At 41.8% G+C, this 13,891-nt stretch overlaps 1 protein-coding gene and 1 long non-coding RNA gene across 2 annotated transcripts in view; one reads left to right on the top strand and one right to left on the bottom strand.

Annotated features, from left to right (window-relative positions):
• LOC105375483 (uncharacterized) overlaps window positions 1-6,506 on the top strand; it is a 33,025-nt gene extending 26,519 nt beyond the window's left edge. The window contains exon 5 of the long non-coding RNA NR_133947.1: window positions 5,261-6,506. This is a non-coding gene — a long non-coding RNA (uncharacterized LOC105375483). The remainder of the gene's footprint in view (window positions 1-5,260) is intronic.
• A 3,274-nt stretch (window positions 6,507-9,780) lies between these two features.
• TMEM229A (transmembrane protein 229A) lies at window positions 9,781-11,927 on the bottom strand. The gene has a single exon (NM_001136002.2). It carries the CDS (start codon window positions 11,861-11,863, stop codon window positions 10,721-10,723), a length of 1,143 nt encoding a protein of 380 aa, NP_001129474.1. The 5' UTR covers window positions 11,864-11,927; the 3' UTR covers window positions 9,781-10,720.
• Window positions 11,928-13,891: the final 1,964 nt, after the last annotated feature.

The raw sequence follows: 13,891 nt of genomic DNA on the forward strand, positions 1-13,891 counted from the left end.
GCTACTGCTACTGTGTCATAGTAGATACTGAATGCTTAACCATGGTTCACCAAGTTACCATGTGACCTGAGCTGCCCATCATGAACTGGGTGTTATCCGACCACCAAGCCACAAAGTTGGGCATGCAAACCAGCACTCCATTATCAGATGGAAATGATATATATGTGATTGGGCCTGAGCAAGCCCTGAAGGCATAAGTTAGTTATATAAAGTGGCTCAAATGCCCATGTTGCCCACTTCTGCTACACTGCCTCCTCTCTCCCAACTTTTACCTATGCTTCATGGGGTTTCCTTATAATGAGTTGACAGAGGAAGAGAAGACTTGGACCTGGTTTATAAATGGTTCTGCATGATATGTAGGTACCACCCAAAAGTGGATGACTGTTCCAATACAACATTTATCTGTAAGGACTGTATGAAAGAAAGGACAGTGATGAAGAAAAATCCTTCCACATAACTTTGAGCAGTGTACTTGGTTGTTCACTTGGTTTGGAAGAAGGAATGGCCAGATGTGTAATTATGTAACAATTCATGACTGTGGCCAGTGATTTGGCTGGATGATCAGGGGCTTGGAAAGAATATATTTGGAAAATTGGTAACAAGAAAATTTGGGGAAGAGGTATGTGAATAAAACTCACTGAAAGGGCAAAAATAATTAAAGATATTTGAGTCCCATGTGAATACACACCAAAGGATGACATCAGCAGAGGAGAATTTTAATAATTAATTGAATAAGATAACCCATTCTGTGAATACCAGTAAGCCTCTTTCTCTCACCACCCCTGGCATCACCCAGTGGGCTCATGAAAAAATGTCTATGATGGTAGGAATGGAGGTTATGCGTGAGGTAAGCAACATAGACTTCCACTCACCAAGGCAGGCCTGGTTACTCCTGCTGCTGAGTACCCAATTTGGCAGCAGCAGAGATCAACATTGAGTCCCCAGTATAGCACCATACCCCAAAGCAATCAGCCAGCCAGATGATGGCAAGTTGATTACACTGGGCTGCTTCCATCGTGGAAGGGGCAGCATTTTGCCCTTATTGAAATAGATGCTCACTGAGAATATAAATTTGTGTTTCCTGCATGCAATACATCTGCCAAAACTACCATTCATGGAATTACAGAATGTCTTATCCATTGTCCCGGTATTCCTCACCGCATTGCTTGTGATCAAGGAACTCACTTCAGAGAAAATATAGTATGACAATGGGTCCACACTCATGGAATTTACTGGTTTAACCATACTTTCCTCCATCTTGAAACAGCTGGCTTGATAGAATGGTGGAATGGCCTTTTGAAGACTCAGTTATAGCACCAGCTGGATGACAATGCCTTGCAGGGCTGGGACAAGGTTTAGCATCATATGAATTATATGAGTATTTCTCCCATAGCCAGCATTCATGGGTCCAAGAATCAAGGGGTGGACCTGGATTACACATGGTGACCCACCAGCAAAGTTTTTGCTTCCTGTTCCCATGACCTTATGCTCCACTGGCCTAGAGGTCTTAGATTCAAAGGGAGAAATGCTTCCTTCAGGAGACACAACAATGCTTCTATTGAACTGGAAGTTAAGACTGCCACTCAGTTACTTTGGATTCCTCATGCCTCTGAATCAACAGGCAAAAAAGGGAGTTACTGTGCTAGCTGGGGTGATTTATTCTGACTAACAGGGGGAAATTTGGACTGCTGCTTCACAACGGAGGTAAGAAAGAATAGGTCTGGAATACAGGAGATCCCTTAGGGAGTCTCTTAGCATTACTATGCCTAGTGATTAAGGTCAGTGGAAAACCATAGCAACTGTCCAGTCCAATCCAGGTCTGTAATGACCCAGACCTTTCAGAATGAAGGTTTGGTTTACACCACCAGGTAAAGAACTACGATCAGCTGAAGTATTTGCTGAAAACAAAGTGAATACAAAATGAATAATGAAAGAAAGTAGTTATGAATACCTGCTGTGCCCATGTAAACAATTACAGAAGTGAGAAATATAATTGTCATGAGCATTTTCTTCTTGTTCCATTCAGGAACACATAATGTTTTGTCCTGAATGGAATCCTGGGAAAGGACATTAGGTACAAACTAAGGTAATCTGAATAATGTGCGGGCTCTTGTTAGTAATATAGGTACCTAAATAATAACAAAAGACTCATACTAATGCAAGATGTTAATGGGTATGTAAGAGCTGTGTACTATCATCACAGTTTTCTTGCAAATCTGAAACTGTTCTAAACAATAAAATCTCTTTTTAAAAATAAAAAAATAAAAATAGCTGCAAACTGAGCAAATCAGTCTTTAGAGAAGAGTCACATCATAAAACATACTCTTTCCAACTAGTTCACATGAACATCAGTTTTTCTTTCTAAATTCATGGTTCAGAAATAATGTTTTTAACGGTAGCTAGGTTCTTTGACTAGCCTACAAATTTAAAAGTCCACCATGTAGTTAAACTCTCTTAGAGGGCTAACTGAGCTTTTTGCCTGGGTAAAGAAGCTGCTGAGCAGAGTAGAGAAAAATATGAAAAATTAAAAAATTCCTACCTCTTTTTCTAGGCACAAGGTGATTCTTGTATATGTTCTATAAATAAATGTCCTATTGAAATCACATATGCCACCTGGTAGTATTTCTAAGTTCTGCTTCCACTATTATGTCTGACATAAACATTCAGAACCAACAAAAAATTTCTGAGCATCTACTCTTAGCTATGTTCTTTACTAAGTGTTGAGAAAACAGGGAAAATGACATTACATCTAATCCCAGGAGAAGAGAGCAGGAAAACAGAAGAAACAAAAGAAATGAAGAGTAAATTCAAGGGTAACTTTTCCCTTCTTCACTCTACTTGCTGTCACTTCTCTCTAACTCACTTTCAGGTCCTAGTCATGCAGTATTGGAATAACAGAGATCCATGTCCACTATCTTTATATGAATGTATAAGTGCATAAAGAGGACCAGCTGGCTTAATGGTAGTTCACTGGAAGGAGACCTAGGGTATTTCGAGAAATGAAAATTCAACTGAAACAATGGCAGAGTTGAGCTGCAAAAATGGCCAATTGTGTGTAATGTTGTTTCCTATTTGCAGAGATAAAATTTCTAGACCAAGTTGGAAATAGCTCCATCATTATACTTTATTACATATTGCTGCAATATTTTGGGATATTTAACCTGGAGTAAGACAATTATGACACACTTGGAAACTTTCTTCAAATCTTTGGTTTTTGGTGGATTATAAAACATGCTGCTCTAAAGACACATGCACACGTATGTTTATTGTGGCACTATTCACAATAGCAAAGACTTGGAACCAACCCAAATGTCAAACAATGATAGACTGGATTAAGAAAATGTGGCACATATACACCATGGAATACTACGCAGCCATAAAAAAGATGAGTTCATGTCCTTTGTAGGGACATGGATGAAGCTGGAAACCATCATTCTCAGCAAACTATTTCAAGGACAAAAAACCAAACACCGCATGTTCTCACTCATAGGTGGGAATTGAACAATGAGAACACATGGACACAGGAAGGGGAACATCACACACCAGGGCCTGTTGTGGGGTGGGGGGAGGGGGAGGGATAGCATTAGGAGATATATCTAATGTTAAATGTCAAGTTAATGGGTGCAGCACACCAACATGGCACATATATACATATGTAACAAACCTGACGTTGTGCACATGTACCCTAAAACTTAAAGTATAATAATAATAAAAAATCTTTGGTTTTTGGTTTGTCCATGAATTGAAAACTCCGAAAAATGACTGAGTTACAGATGTGGTCTTATCGTTTGGACCTTTCTAACAATCTAAGCTGTAGAACAAAGAAACACATTTTCTTGGGAGATCTGAGTAAGTACAATGATCTCTGTCATTGAAAGTGATCATGAAGATGATGGATGGACACATGTCCAAGATGATCTAGAAGGAATTACCGTATGGGCTGGGAGTTGAACTAGGTGACCATTAGTTATCTTCTTAAGCTCTAAAGTTCTGTGATTTTAGATTTTCAATAAGTTGTGGTCTCTTTACTCATGCACTGAGTAGACACTTCAATAACACTATTATTAAAACTTTCATAGCATGCCCAATAACATCATTACACAAAAAATAAACTCAGAAATTCCACTAAATAAATATTAATAAAGTATACATTTGGTATTCTGTCAAACCTAGGGTGTGCAGTGTTTCCTGAACCCAAAATTTACTTTGGAATGCAAATCTGCTAGAAAGATATAGAATAACATTCACATATTCCAATTATTTTACCCATAGAAAATTAACACATGTGCCCTCTATGGCTATCGAATAGTATCCTTCTCAATTGATCTTCAGTTTCTGCCTTAATTATTCTTTTGTTTCTGTTTTGTTTTGTTTGCTTTAAATATCAGCATTATGGGTAAGTACTATGATGAATTTTATTAAACTCTTGCTTTTAAGTATTTGGAATCTGATTGCTCTCTCGTACACCAGGGAACTCTTTTATTTATTTTTTCTTCCTCTTCATTCATTGCTACTAAGGAAAGAATTAGACTAAAATAGTTCTTCTTCAGAAGTGTACAAGAGCCTATTTAATTTTGTTTTTGTCCTAAAAGTTAGTAGGTAATCATAACAAAATGATATAAACTTTCTGCATGTTCTCAATATTATTTTCCCCCAGTAATGACTTTTCAATATTTGAAGTTTGGAATCTGAGATCCTATAAGGCTACTTTTGTTTTTGTTAGGGATATTAATATTTTAATAAAATATCTTGTATATAGTATAAACATCTGTTGAAATCCCATGAAAAGTGGAGCTAATTTTCTCCTTAATATGGTAAGAACAATTTCTTGGATGGATGATCGATGGAATCTTTCACCCTTCTTTGGCTAGCTCCTTGTCTCTGTGACACCTATGGCCTCTCAATTTCTTTCTTGGTACAGCTGTTTAGGTCTGCGAGGGTAAGTTACCAGGAAACTTCACCAGGTGATGTTCTGTAGGTTGACCAGAGCAGTTCGCCAAAGGCTTTTCTTGGCTTGAACCAGGTTGAGACTCCAACGACTCAAGCAGAATGTCTAGAATTTAGTCTTCTAAACCTGCAATCAATGTATTTTTTTAATTTTCCGAAGTAATATAATTACGCTAAAAGCTCTCAAAGACTTACTGCTTAGACTCCATGAATGAAGCATCATTTGAAAAGCTACAATAAAGAAAATAAAGAGATCATAAGTATCATGACAAAAGAATGAAACACTGATTTTTTTTTTTTTTTTTTGATACAGGGTCTCACTGTGTCACCCAGGCTGGAGTCCATCAAAGCTCACTGCAGCCTTAACCTTCTGTGCTCAAGGGATCCTCCCACTTAAGCCTCCTGAGTAGCTGGAACTACAGGCATATGCCACCGAGCCTGGCTAATCTTTGATTTTTTTGTACAGATTGTGTCTCCTTATGTTGCTCAGGCTGGACTCAAACTTCTGGTCTCAAGCGATCTTTCCATCTTAGCTTCCCAAATTGTTGGAATTATGGACATGAGCCAGTGTGCTTGGCCTGATTTTTTTTTTTTTTTAATGAGAAAAACGTTCCTTAAGAAAAGTTTCATTGTAGTAAGTAATCAGGATGAATAGCATATATTAGCTCCGAAAAACTTTGGAAGCCTTCTTACTTCACTGAAAGTGGGGTTTATCAACTCAGCTGCCAACGGCTTTCCTCCCATTTAGCCTTTGTGTGAAAAACACAATTAATACTTTCTTGAGTAGTACAAGCTGAGCCGAGAAACCATCTTTCAGAGGTGTAAATTCTTGCCTTGGGTGGAAGGCTGGATGTTATTAACTTTCACAATTTCTTTCAACACTTGATTTTCCTCAATCATGGTAAAGACATATTATTTATTTTTCTTTTTAGTTGGGAAAGTTGATTCACGTGACTTTTGCATTTTGTAGAATTTTTAAGAGGTAAGATGAAAATTAAACATTTGTGCGTGTTAAGGATCCATGTTTCTCTGTCAGATGTCTGGTAATTTGCTTGACGATTTTTGCAAAGATAATTTAGAAATTAAGGAAACCATTCTCTACGTTTTTCTTTACATTAAAAGAAAAAAGTCTCCAATAAAAAATTTCTCTATCCACATTACAGGTTAATTTACAATTTCAGCTGCTGGTGGCTGGCTTGAGGCCTCAATGTTAAAAATGAGAATGAGGCTAATTCTAGTGAATAGAGGTCCACACAGACAATTGCTATCTTTGTTAGATGCTCCAGTACCAAGCCTAAGAATAGGAAAAAAACTAAAAACACCCTGGAAATGTAACAGAATCATCTTTTGCTGCCATCTTTCTCTTCAGTATAAGCTGAGCATGTGTTTGATGCATAGCGGTGTGGGAACTATATACTTTCTTCTTACTTTCCTTCAGTAAAGGAGCTTAGCTCCATTAAGCATTGTTCAAGATAGTGTATTTAAAATTAACATAAAAGGTAAAAGATTTTAATGCCTTTTAATATAAGGAAAATTGATTTTATTAAAATGCTTTAAGATACTACAATACAATTACTTATTTATCACTCTAACTCTGTATTGTGAGTGTAGCTTCCTTTCCAAGTATACTGATTTTTTTATGGGTTTTGGAAGTAGGAAACGAACCAAAGTAGTCTATCAAAATTCTCATTCACCGTCTTTCTTAAGCAGAACCAAGTCCATCATGCCGACGGAGACTATTTCAAGAGTAGAAATTCTTTTTATTCAAAGGGGTAGGATTAAACAATGAAAGACAGGTTATATTTTTCTAACCTGTGTTTTGCTGAGCTGAAGCATGAAATATCAAATATTTATAATAAAGTATTCATAGTTAAGTACACTGAATCATTAAAATGTTGGAAATATTGAAATGGATGATCGATCTTATTGGAGTCCTTGTGTGATACAGGAACTTCTGTATTTACTGTTAACAAGAAAAACTCAAAAGGTTACATTCCTTTTTAGATTCAGAGCTCAAATAGAATTGATTTAAAATTTAAAGCACTTCTAATAAGACATTTCAGCATTGCATAAGTTAAACATGGAGAAAAAAATAAATACATTTATGTTTTTCTATTAATACTTACTCTAAGTTGTTTACTAGAACTCAGAATAAATGTCTCTAAAGATTTAGTTTTAATTTTTGGCTGCTTAGCTCTTACAATGACATTTATTCTGAGTACCATATTAAATGTGTAGTAATAATTATATGTATTTTTCCTAGCTTGTGATATGAGGTATCTTGCATTTTGGCATATTATTCTGATTTTAGAGACAGGGTCTTGCTCTGCTGCCCAGGCTGGAATGCAGTGATGTGATCACAGCTCACTGCAGTCCTGTACTCTTAGGCTTAAGTGATTCTCCTGCCTCAGCCTCTGAAGTATCTAGGATTACAGGCATGTGGCACTATATCTGGCTAATTTATTTTTTAATTTTTTTGTAGAGACGAGGACTTGCTATGTTGCCAGTTTGGTCTTGAACTCTTGGTCTCAAGTGATTCTCCTGCCTTGGGTTCCCAAAGCGTTGGGACGGCAGATGTCAGCCACCGCGCCTGGCCTTATTCTTATAAACTCAAAATTATCTGAATTCAAGCAAGGTAATGTATTTCACAGCATCACTGAAATATAAAGATGTATCATCTCGGGATAAGAACTAGGCTGATGTCAGTTATGCATCCTGCTATTAGCTCCCTTGTTATTTAATACCATGGAATAAAAAGGCAGCGTGAAAGTCTTTTTGCCACTATTGCCTGGCTTTTATTGCAGCTACTCTTGCATCTATAATAGTGGAAGGGAAGAGCAATACGGATTGTAAAATGAACTCCATAGAAGATCCACTGTGGTCAGTAGATCAAGGCATGACAGTATTGACGTTAAGAATGGACACTGGAGTCCAGTATATACGGATTCAAATCTGAATGCTCAGTAGCTGTATGACTTGGGCAGTTACTTAACCTATTTGGGTTTGAGTTTTCTTGTCTTCATCTGTAAAAGTAGGGCTGTTAGAGGTTTAAGTGAATATATGTGCACATATGTATATATATTAAGAGATATACATGATATATATAAATAAAATATATATCTATTCCCTTGAGATATATATATGAATATGTGTATTCCCCTGAGATATATATGAATATATATATATTCCCCTAAGATATATACATATATATATTTTCACATATTTCTTTACACACACACACAGACACACACCCCTTAGAAGAGTTCCTTGTAGGTGGTAAGTGCTAATTAGATATTAACTATCATCACATTGCCGTCTCATTTCTGTATTTGAATTACTAATTAGTAACACAATTGAATGATCTGATGGTTCCTTCTTTTCCCTGCTTTTTCCTTAAAGGATCAAAGGTTGCAGCAAAATGTCACATTTAAGAAGCTGAGTAAACACAGAATGAGAAGCCCTAAAGCGAGGTGCTGTGTTAATAGACAGGCTAATCACTTCCTGAATACATAAGAACTAGCTCTTTGTAGAACTAGCAGAGAGACTGCTAACAGGTTTTTGTTTTAGATTGATGGATTGATTTTCCAGGAACAGGCCTGATGAGAGCCCTCATAAAAATTGCCTCTCATAGCCTATTGCAAATAAGTATAATCTTACATAAATCAAAGCACTAGTACGTAAGCATCCCAAGGACAGAGATTTTGTCTGTGTTGGTTCACAGCTATATCCAGAGTTCAGGCAAGTGCCTGGCAAATAGTGGAGGCTCAGTAAGTATCTCTTGAGTGAACTGAATGAATGAAAACCTTGACTTTTCCTTTAAATAGGATTAACATTAAAAGCAAAACAAAACAGCATGCTTTCCTACTTCCTTGATGGATTTCTGACCCTAAGAATGCTGTTAGGCAAGTAAGAAGGGCTGGAGAGCAGCATGTGAAGGGCACAGTGCAAATGTGTACATTTAGCAAGTATTTCAGAAATCTCGGATTTGGTGAAGTATTTGCTGGAGTGTGTGGTGTGATGTCACACTTAACTCAGATACATGTGTCACATTTGAATTACAAATATTCTGTCCAGCATCTCCCTAACTTGAGTGACTATGCTTATACTTTTTTCTACACAGGGTTTTCATAAATCTTTGATCCTTGACCAAGTGTCATAGAGAACTTTTCTTAAGTGAAACTCTCTGCAAACAGTTAGCTTATATTTAAGTTTCTATTCAGCTTTGAGTATAGTATTTTGGCTAAAATAATGTTTTGCATGGTCCATTTCACAGGTGAGGTTGATTATATAGCATTCATTACTCTTAATTTAGCTTACAACCTCAGATAGTGGTTTAAAATATATAACACTCATAACTATGTCTAAGTTAATCAAATTTAAATTATTTTCTACTCCTGTAGCAAACATTTTTTGAAAACAGAAAAAAGTCCCTTTTTACAGCATAGGCTCGCTGATAATTTGAATAGAAAACCACTCATTTCTATACATGAAATTTTCCTGATTGTCTTTGTAATAAAAACTGAGAGGATATTCGTCATCCCTGGCTGAGCTGCACTGAATTCTACTCTTTTATACATGTAATAAAACAGCAAACAACATCAAAATACATTATTAATTAGGCATGAATTTCTTAAAATGGTTTACATCATCTCATTTAACTTCAGAGCTTGCAGACATTAACAGTAAGTCACCACAAAGCTACCATTGATTTATAATGCACATTACCACATCAAGCCTGGCCCAAGGACTCTGGGCCCAGAAGGAAAAACAGCCATGGCAGAAATATAATGAAAACATATCTGTATTCACAGAAAACAATTAGGCTTAATGTAATTAGAGTGAACATTCAGGTTCATTTTATTCAAAGGTAATGTTTCTGCCCTTGAAGTTCCATGTAGAAAAGGGTCCTTGGAGTTAGAACACTGTGGAAGGTGATATAATTTCACTTGGCCCTCGGCTATGTAAGGTAAACATTTTACATTATTGCACAGTAACAAAAATTTACAGCCATAGATAACACAGGATCTGATCAACGTTAACACACCTGCTGTTTAAGGCTTACCCACATTGGAAAGCAATCATTTCCAGGATGGAGATCAAATATCTTAACACAGTGTCACCTGTGTGAGTTGCTAGAAAAGACCTCTCATTTAAAAATCTGTTCATAGAACGTGCTTTCACATTTTTCAGCCTCTTTTCACTTGTGTGCTAGACGGAGGCACTTTAAGAGCTATTAACTGTAGTCTCAAGAGTACAAGACATTGAGTTTCTTCAGTCATTGGTAAATATGGCAAGGAATTAAAATGAAATTAGATTAAAAAGAAAGTAAAACAAATCACTGAATCAGAAAATTTAGCCAAATCTTGTAAAAATCACTGGTCTCTGATTTAAAGATCCCCCCCCGCCAAAAAAAAAAAAATTAGTAGCTGTCACTCATCTGTTGCCAGATGGGTAAACACTACTACATCATTCTGATGTTAAGGTATAACGGTTTTGCTGTTTGGGCGTGTAAACGTTTGGGCTTGTAAATGTTTTAAAACATTGGCAAATAAAGTACTTTGAATTATGTTTCGAGTAGTGTTTCAAAGTATATTATACACGGGTTTCAAATAGAAAAACTAAAAGGTGGAATAAAACAATTTGGAAGAGTTTAGTAAAGCGTATAAAAATTAAAGGACTAAAAAACCCACTTCATTTTAAATGTGTAAAAATAAATCGCATCCATTCGTGGGAATCCAGTGACTTTTTCCTTTTCTTTCTTTCTTTTTTGGTTTTAGTTAGCTGGTACGTACTGCACCCTCCACAACACGTTGGAAATTAGGTCCTGGTACACACTAAGGAATATCCAGCCAGGTAAATACATCAGGGTGATGAGGCCCATAAAATTGAGCGGGTAGTGAGAATAGTCCCAGGAACAAGCCCCGCACGTGCGGAGTCCCAGACCCCAGGACAGCTCCCACACGTAGATGAAGATCACGTAGATGGGCACCCGCTTCCAAGTGCCCCAACCGCGGCTGTAGTGGAGGTGGAAGTAGAGCTTTTCCACCACGAAACTGCAGCTGCCGTACATAAAGAAGGACCAGAGCGACGTGTGGCCGCTGGTTGTCCCGTCCCCCTGCCCCAGTACGTTGAAGAAGAAGGTGAAGAAGATCTCATCCAGAAAGCCGTGCATTCCGAAGAAAAGAAAGCGGGGTAGGTCGGGCAGCCCCTGGCTGGGGGCTCCCCCGGCGCCCCTGGGGCCACGGGGTCGTCGCCGCCGGGCTCCGGCCGCAGTAGGGACCCGGGCGCCGGGAGGGACGGGGAGCGCGCCCCTCCGCTGCTGCTGCTGCTGCTGCTGCTGCTGTTGCTGCTGCCGCCGCCTCTGTCGCCCGTACCGCAAGCGCAGGAAGCGCTTCAGGAACACTTGGCAGTGGTAGAGCGCCAGCACGTACTGCAGCGCCAGGTCCAGCGCCCCTGGCGCCACCGCGACCCCCGCCCCGCCGCCCAGGCTGAGTAGTAGCGCCTGGCCCGCTAGGGTCTGCAGCCCCACGTGGGCCGAGGGGTAGAGGAGGAAATTGAAGACGAAGGCGTTGGGACAGCGCCGCTGCTGCAGGTACACCTTCTCCAGGGCGAAATGGGTGAGCGAGTGCAGCAGGCAGCGGTAGGGCGAGGAGAAGCCTAGCATCCGCAGGTCCGGGCTGCGGGCGAAGCGCCGGGCCGAGGACACCAGCACGTCCAGGGTGATCCCGTGCATCCCGTAGAAGTAGAGGCGCATCCAGGCGGGCAGCGTGGCGCTCTCAGCCGGCGCTTCAGCAGTGGACAGCGGCTCCGGGCAGCCGGCTGCCGCCTCGCTTCCTGGCCCGCCAGGGGCCCCCGGACGCCGCGCCGCGCCGCCCCTCCGTGCGGGGCCCTCGCTGTCCACGTCGCTCCCCGCCATGGGCTCGGAGGCTGTCCGAACGCCCGAGGCTGCACCGCCGCCGCTGCCGGGTGCGCGGAGCTGCAGGGCCGAGCGGCCGAGCCCCGCGCCGCCTCCTGGCCGCTGCCGGCCCCCGGGGGGCGCGCAGGGAGCTCCGTCCCGGCCGCGGTCCCGCGGCAGCGGGGGCTGATGCACTCAGGGGACTCGCGGGCCGCCCGGCTAGCGGAATCCCCCCGCCGTGGCCCCGCTGCGCCCTCCCTTCCAGTCCCGGGCGAGGTGCCGCCCGCCCGCGCCCGCTCTAGCTCTCACCCTGCGCGGCCTAACGGGCACCGCGGCCCAGCCAGGGGAGGCGGCGCCGGGGCTGTGAGGGGAAATGCAGAAGCTTGTGGAAGCCCCATCCCCTCCGCTGCTTAGCCCCGCGCCTCCGCTGCAGGCTCTGGGAACGTAACGCGAGCAGCGGCGGCCCTGCCCCCGCCCTGCCAATGCCCCTCTCCGCCTGCCTCGACCTCTCCCGCCTTCTCAGGCCGCCCCCACGCGCCCGCCCGCCGCACCGAGTCCCACAGGGTCTGCTCGGGAAGGCCCGGCCCTGCTTCTTCCTCCCGGTGCGCCCACTCAACACAGGGGCTCCGGTCGTGCGGGGGGCGCTTGCTGGGCGGAGGCACTGAGTGGAGAAACACCTAACAGGTGTGACTGCAAGTTGATGGGCATTCCCTGCATCGCGGCAATCAGGGCCAGGGCCTGGCTGGCGGAGACGAATGGCTGAGTGCCACGGGCTGGAGGCTGGGCTCAAGACCAAAATATGGTGCTGTATACTTAATGTTCTTATTCAAAGCCAGCTGTGTCCCAGTCATAGAGAATAAACTCGAGACTCCACGCCTGCCCGCCCCTGCGTTACCCTCCATCTAAATTGCTGCCGCGGGGCCTGATCCACTTTTCCAATCTATTTCTTGGCCCATCTACTTTTCTGGGTTTACTCAAGGCCAAGGACAGAGATTCGATGTCCCCCAGAATTTGTGAAATGATTTCAGGCCAGTTGGGTTGGGTTGGGGTGTGGAGAAGAGGAAATGCTTTGTTCTAGCTACTGTGGGGTCTCAGGTGGAGAATAGTACCTCGTCCTGGCACACCCCGCTGCTGGGTTCTTCTTTTGGCAGAACTAGGTCATCCCAGAAATGGAGAGTGACATAAAGGGCCAGGGTTTATCTTTTTCTATCTTTTCCCTCCCTCCCTTCACCTCTCCCCTCTTCTCCCTTCCCTCATTCCCTACTTCCTCCCCTCCCCTCCCCTCCCCTCCAATCCCTCCCTCCCTCTCTCTCTCCCTTCCTCCCTCTTTATCTCCTTCCTTCCTTCCTTCCTTCCTTCCTTCCTTCCTTCCTTCCTTCCTTGGTTGAGAGAGTGGAAGGGGTTCAGAATGTTGGTGTGTTGGTTCCACCATTCTCTCCAATTTTGAATCAGTCTTGGAACTGGAAAGAGCCTCGGGGGTGAATTATACCGATTACCTCCCTCTTTCTCCTCCTTCCCCCGAAATTCATGTGCGGATAGATAACAGTTCTGTGTTAGAGTTTAGATCCTCCCTTGATGAAAGGCTTTCTGGGGAATTTTTTTTTTTCCTTCTGGCGAATAGACATAATGAGGCTGATCCTCTATTTCTAAGGCAACCTCCTCCTCACGCTGTCTCCTTGCCTATTTCAGCCCCTCACGTTCCAATCTGTGGTAGCTAAGTTGACTGTGAATTAAGAGAAACTTTCATGTCAGGGACAGGAATGTCAGGAAGTTTTCATGTGAGGGACAGAAATGTCAGGTAGCAGGTTCATCAAACTTGTTGCAAACCAGGTTTGATCTAGTTGCCCAAGTGCCTGAGCAAATACATTGAAGGGAAATAATGTAAACATTTTTGTGAGCACCTTGCTATGCCTACACTGGGAAAATAAAGGGTTATAAGATGCTCTCTTTAAGAAGTGTGTAATCTAGTTAAAATGATAATAATCTATTATGCCTTCATAAAGCCTACTTATGATTATTATCAATAATAACTGATCGTGATCATTTAAT

This window comes from Homo sapiens, chromosome 7 (assembly GCF_000001405.40).
Source record: "Homo sapiens chromosome 7, GRCh38.p14 Primary Assembly".
Classification (NCBI taxonomy): domain Eukaryota; kingdom Metazoa; phylum Chordata; class Mammalia; order Primates; family Hominidae; genus Homo; species Homo sapiens.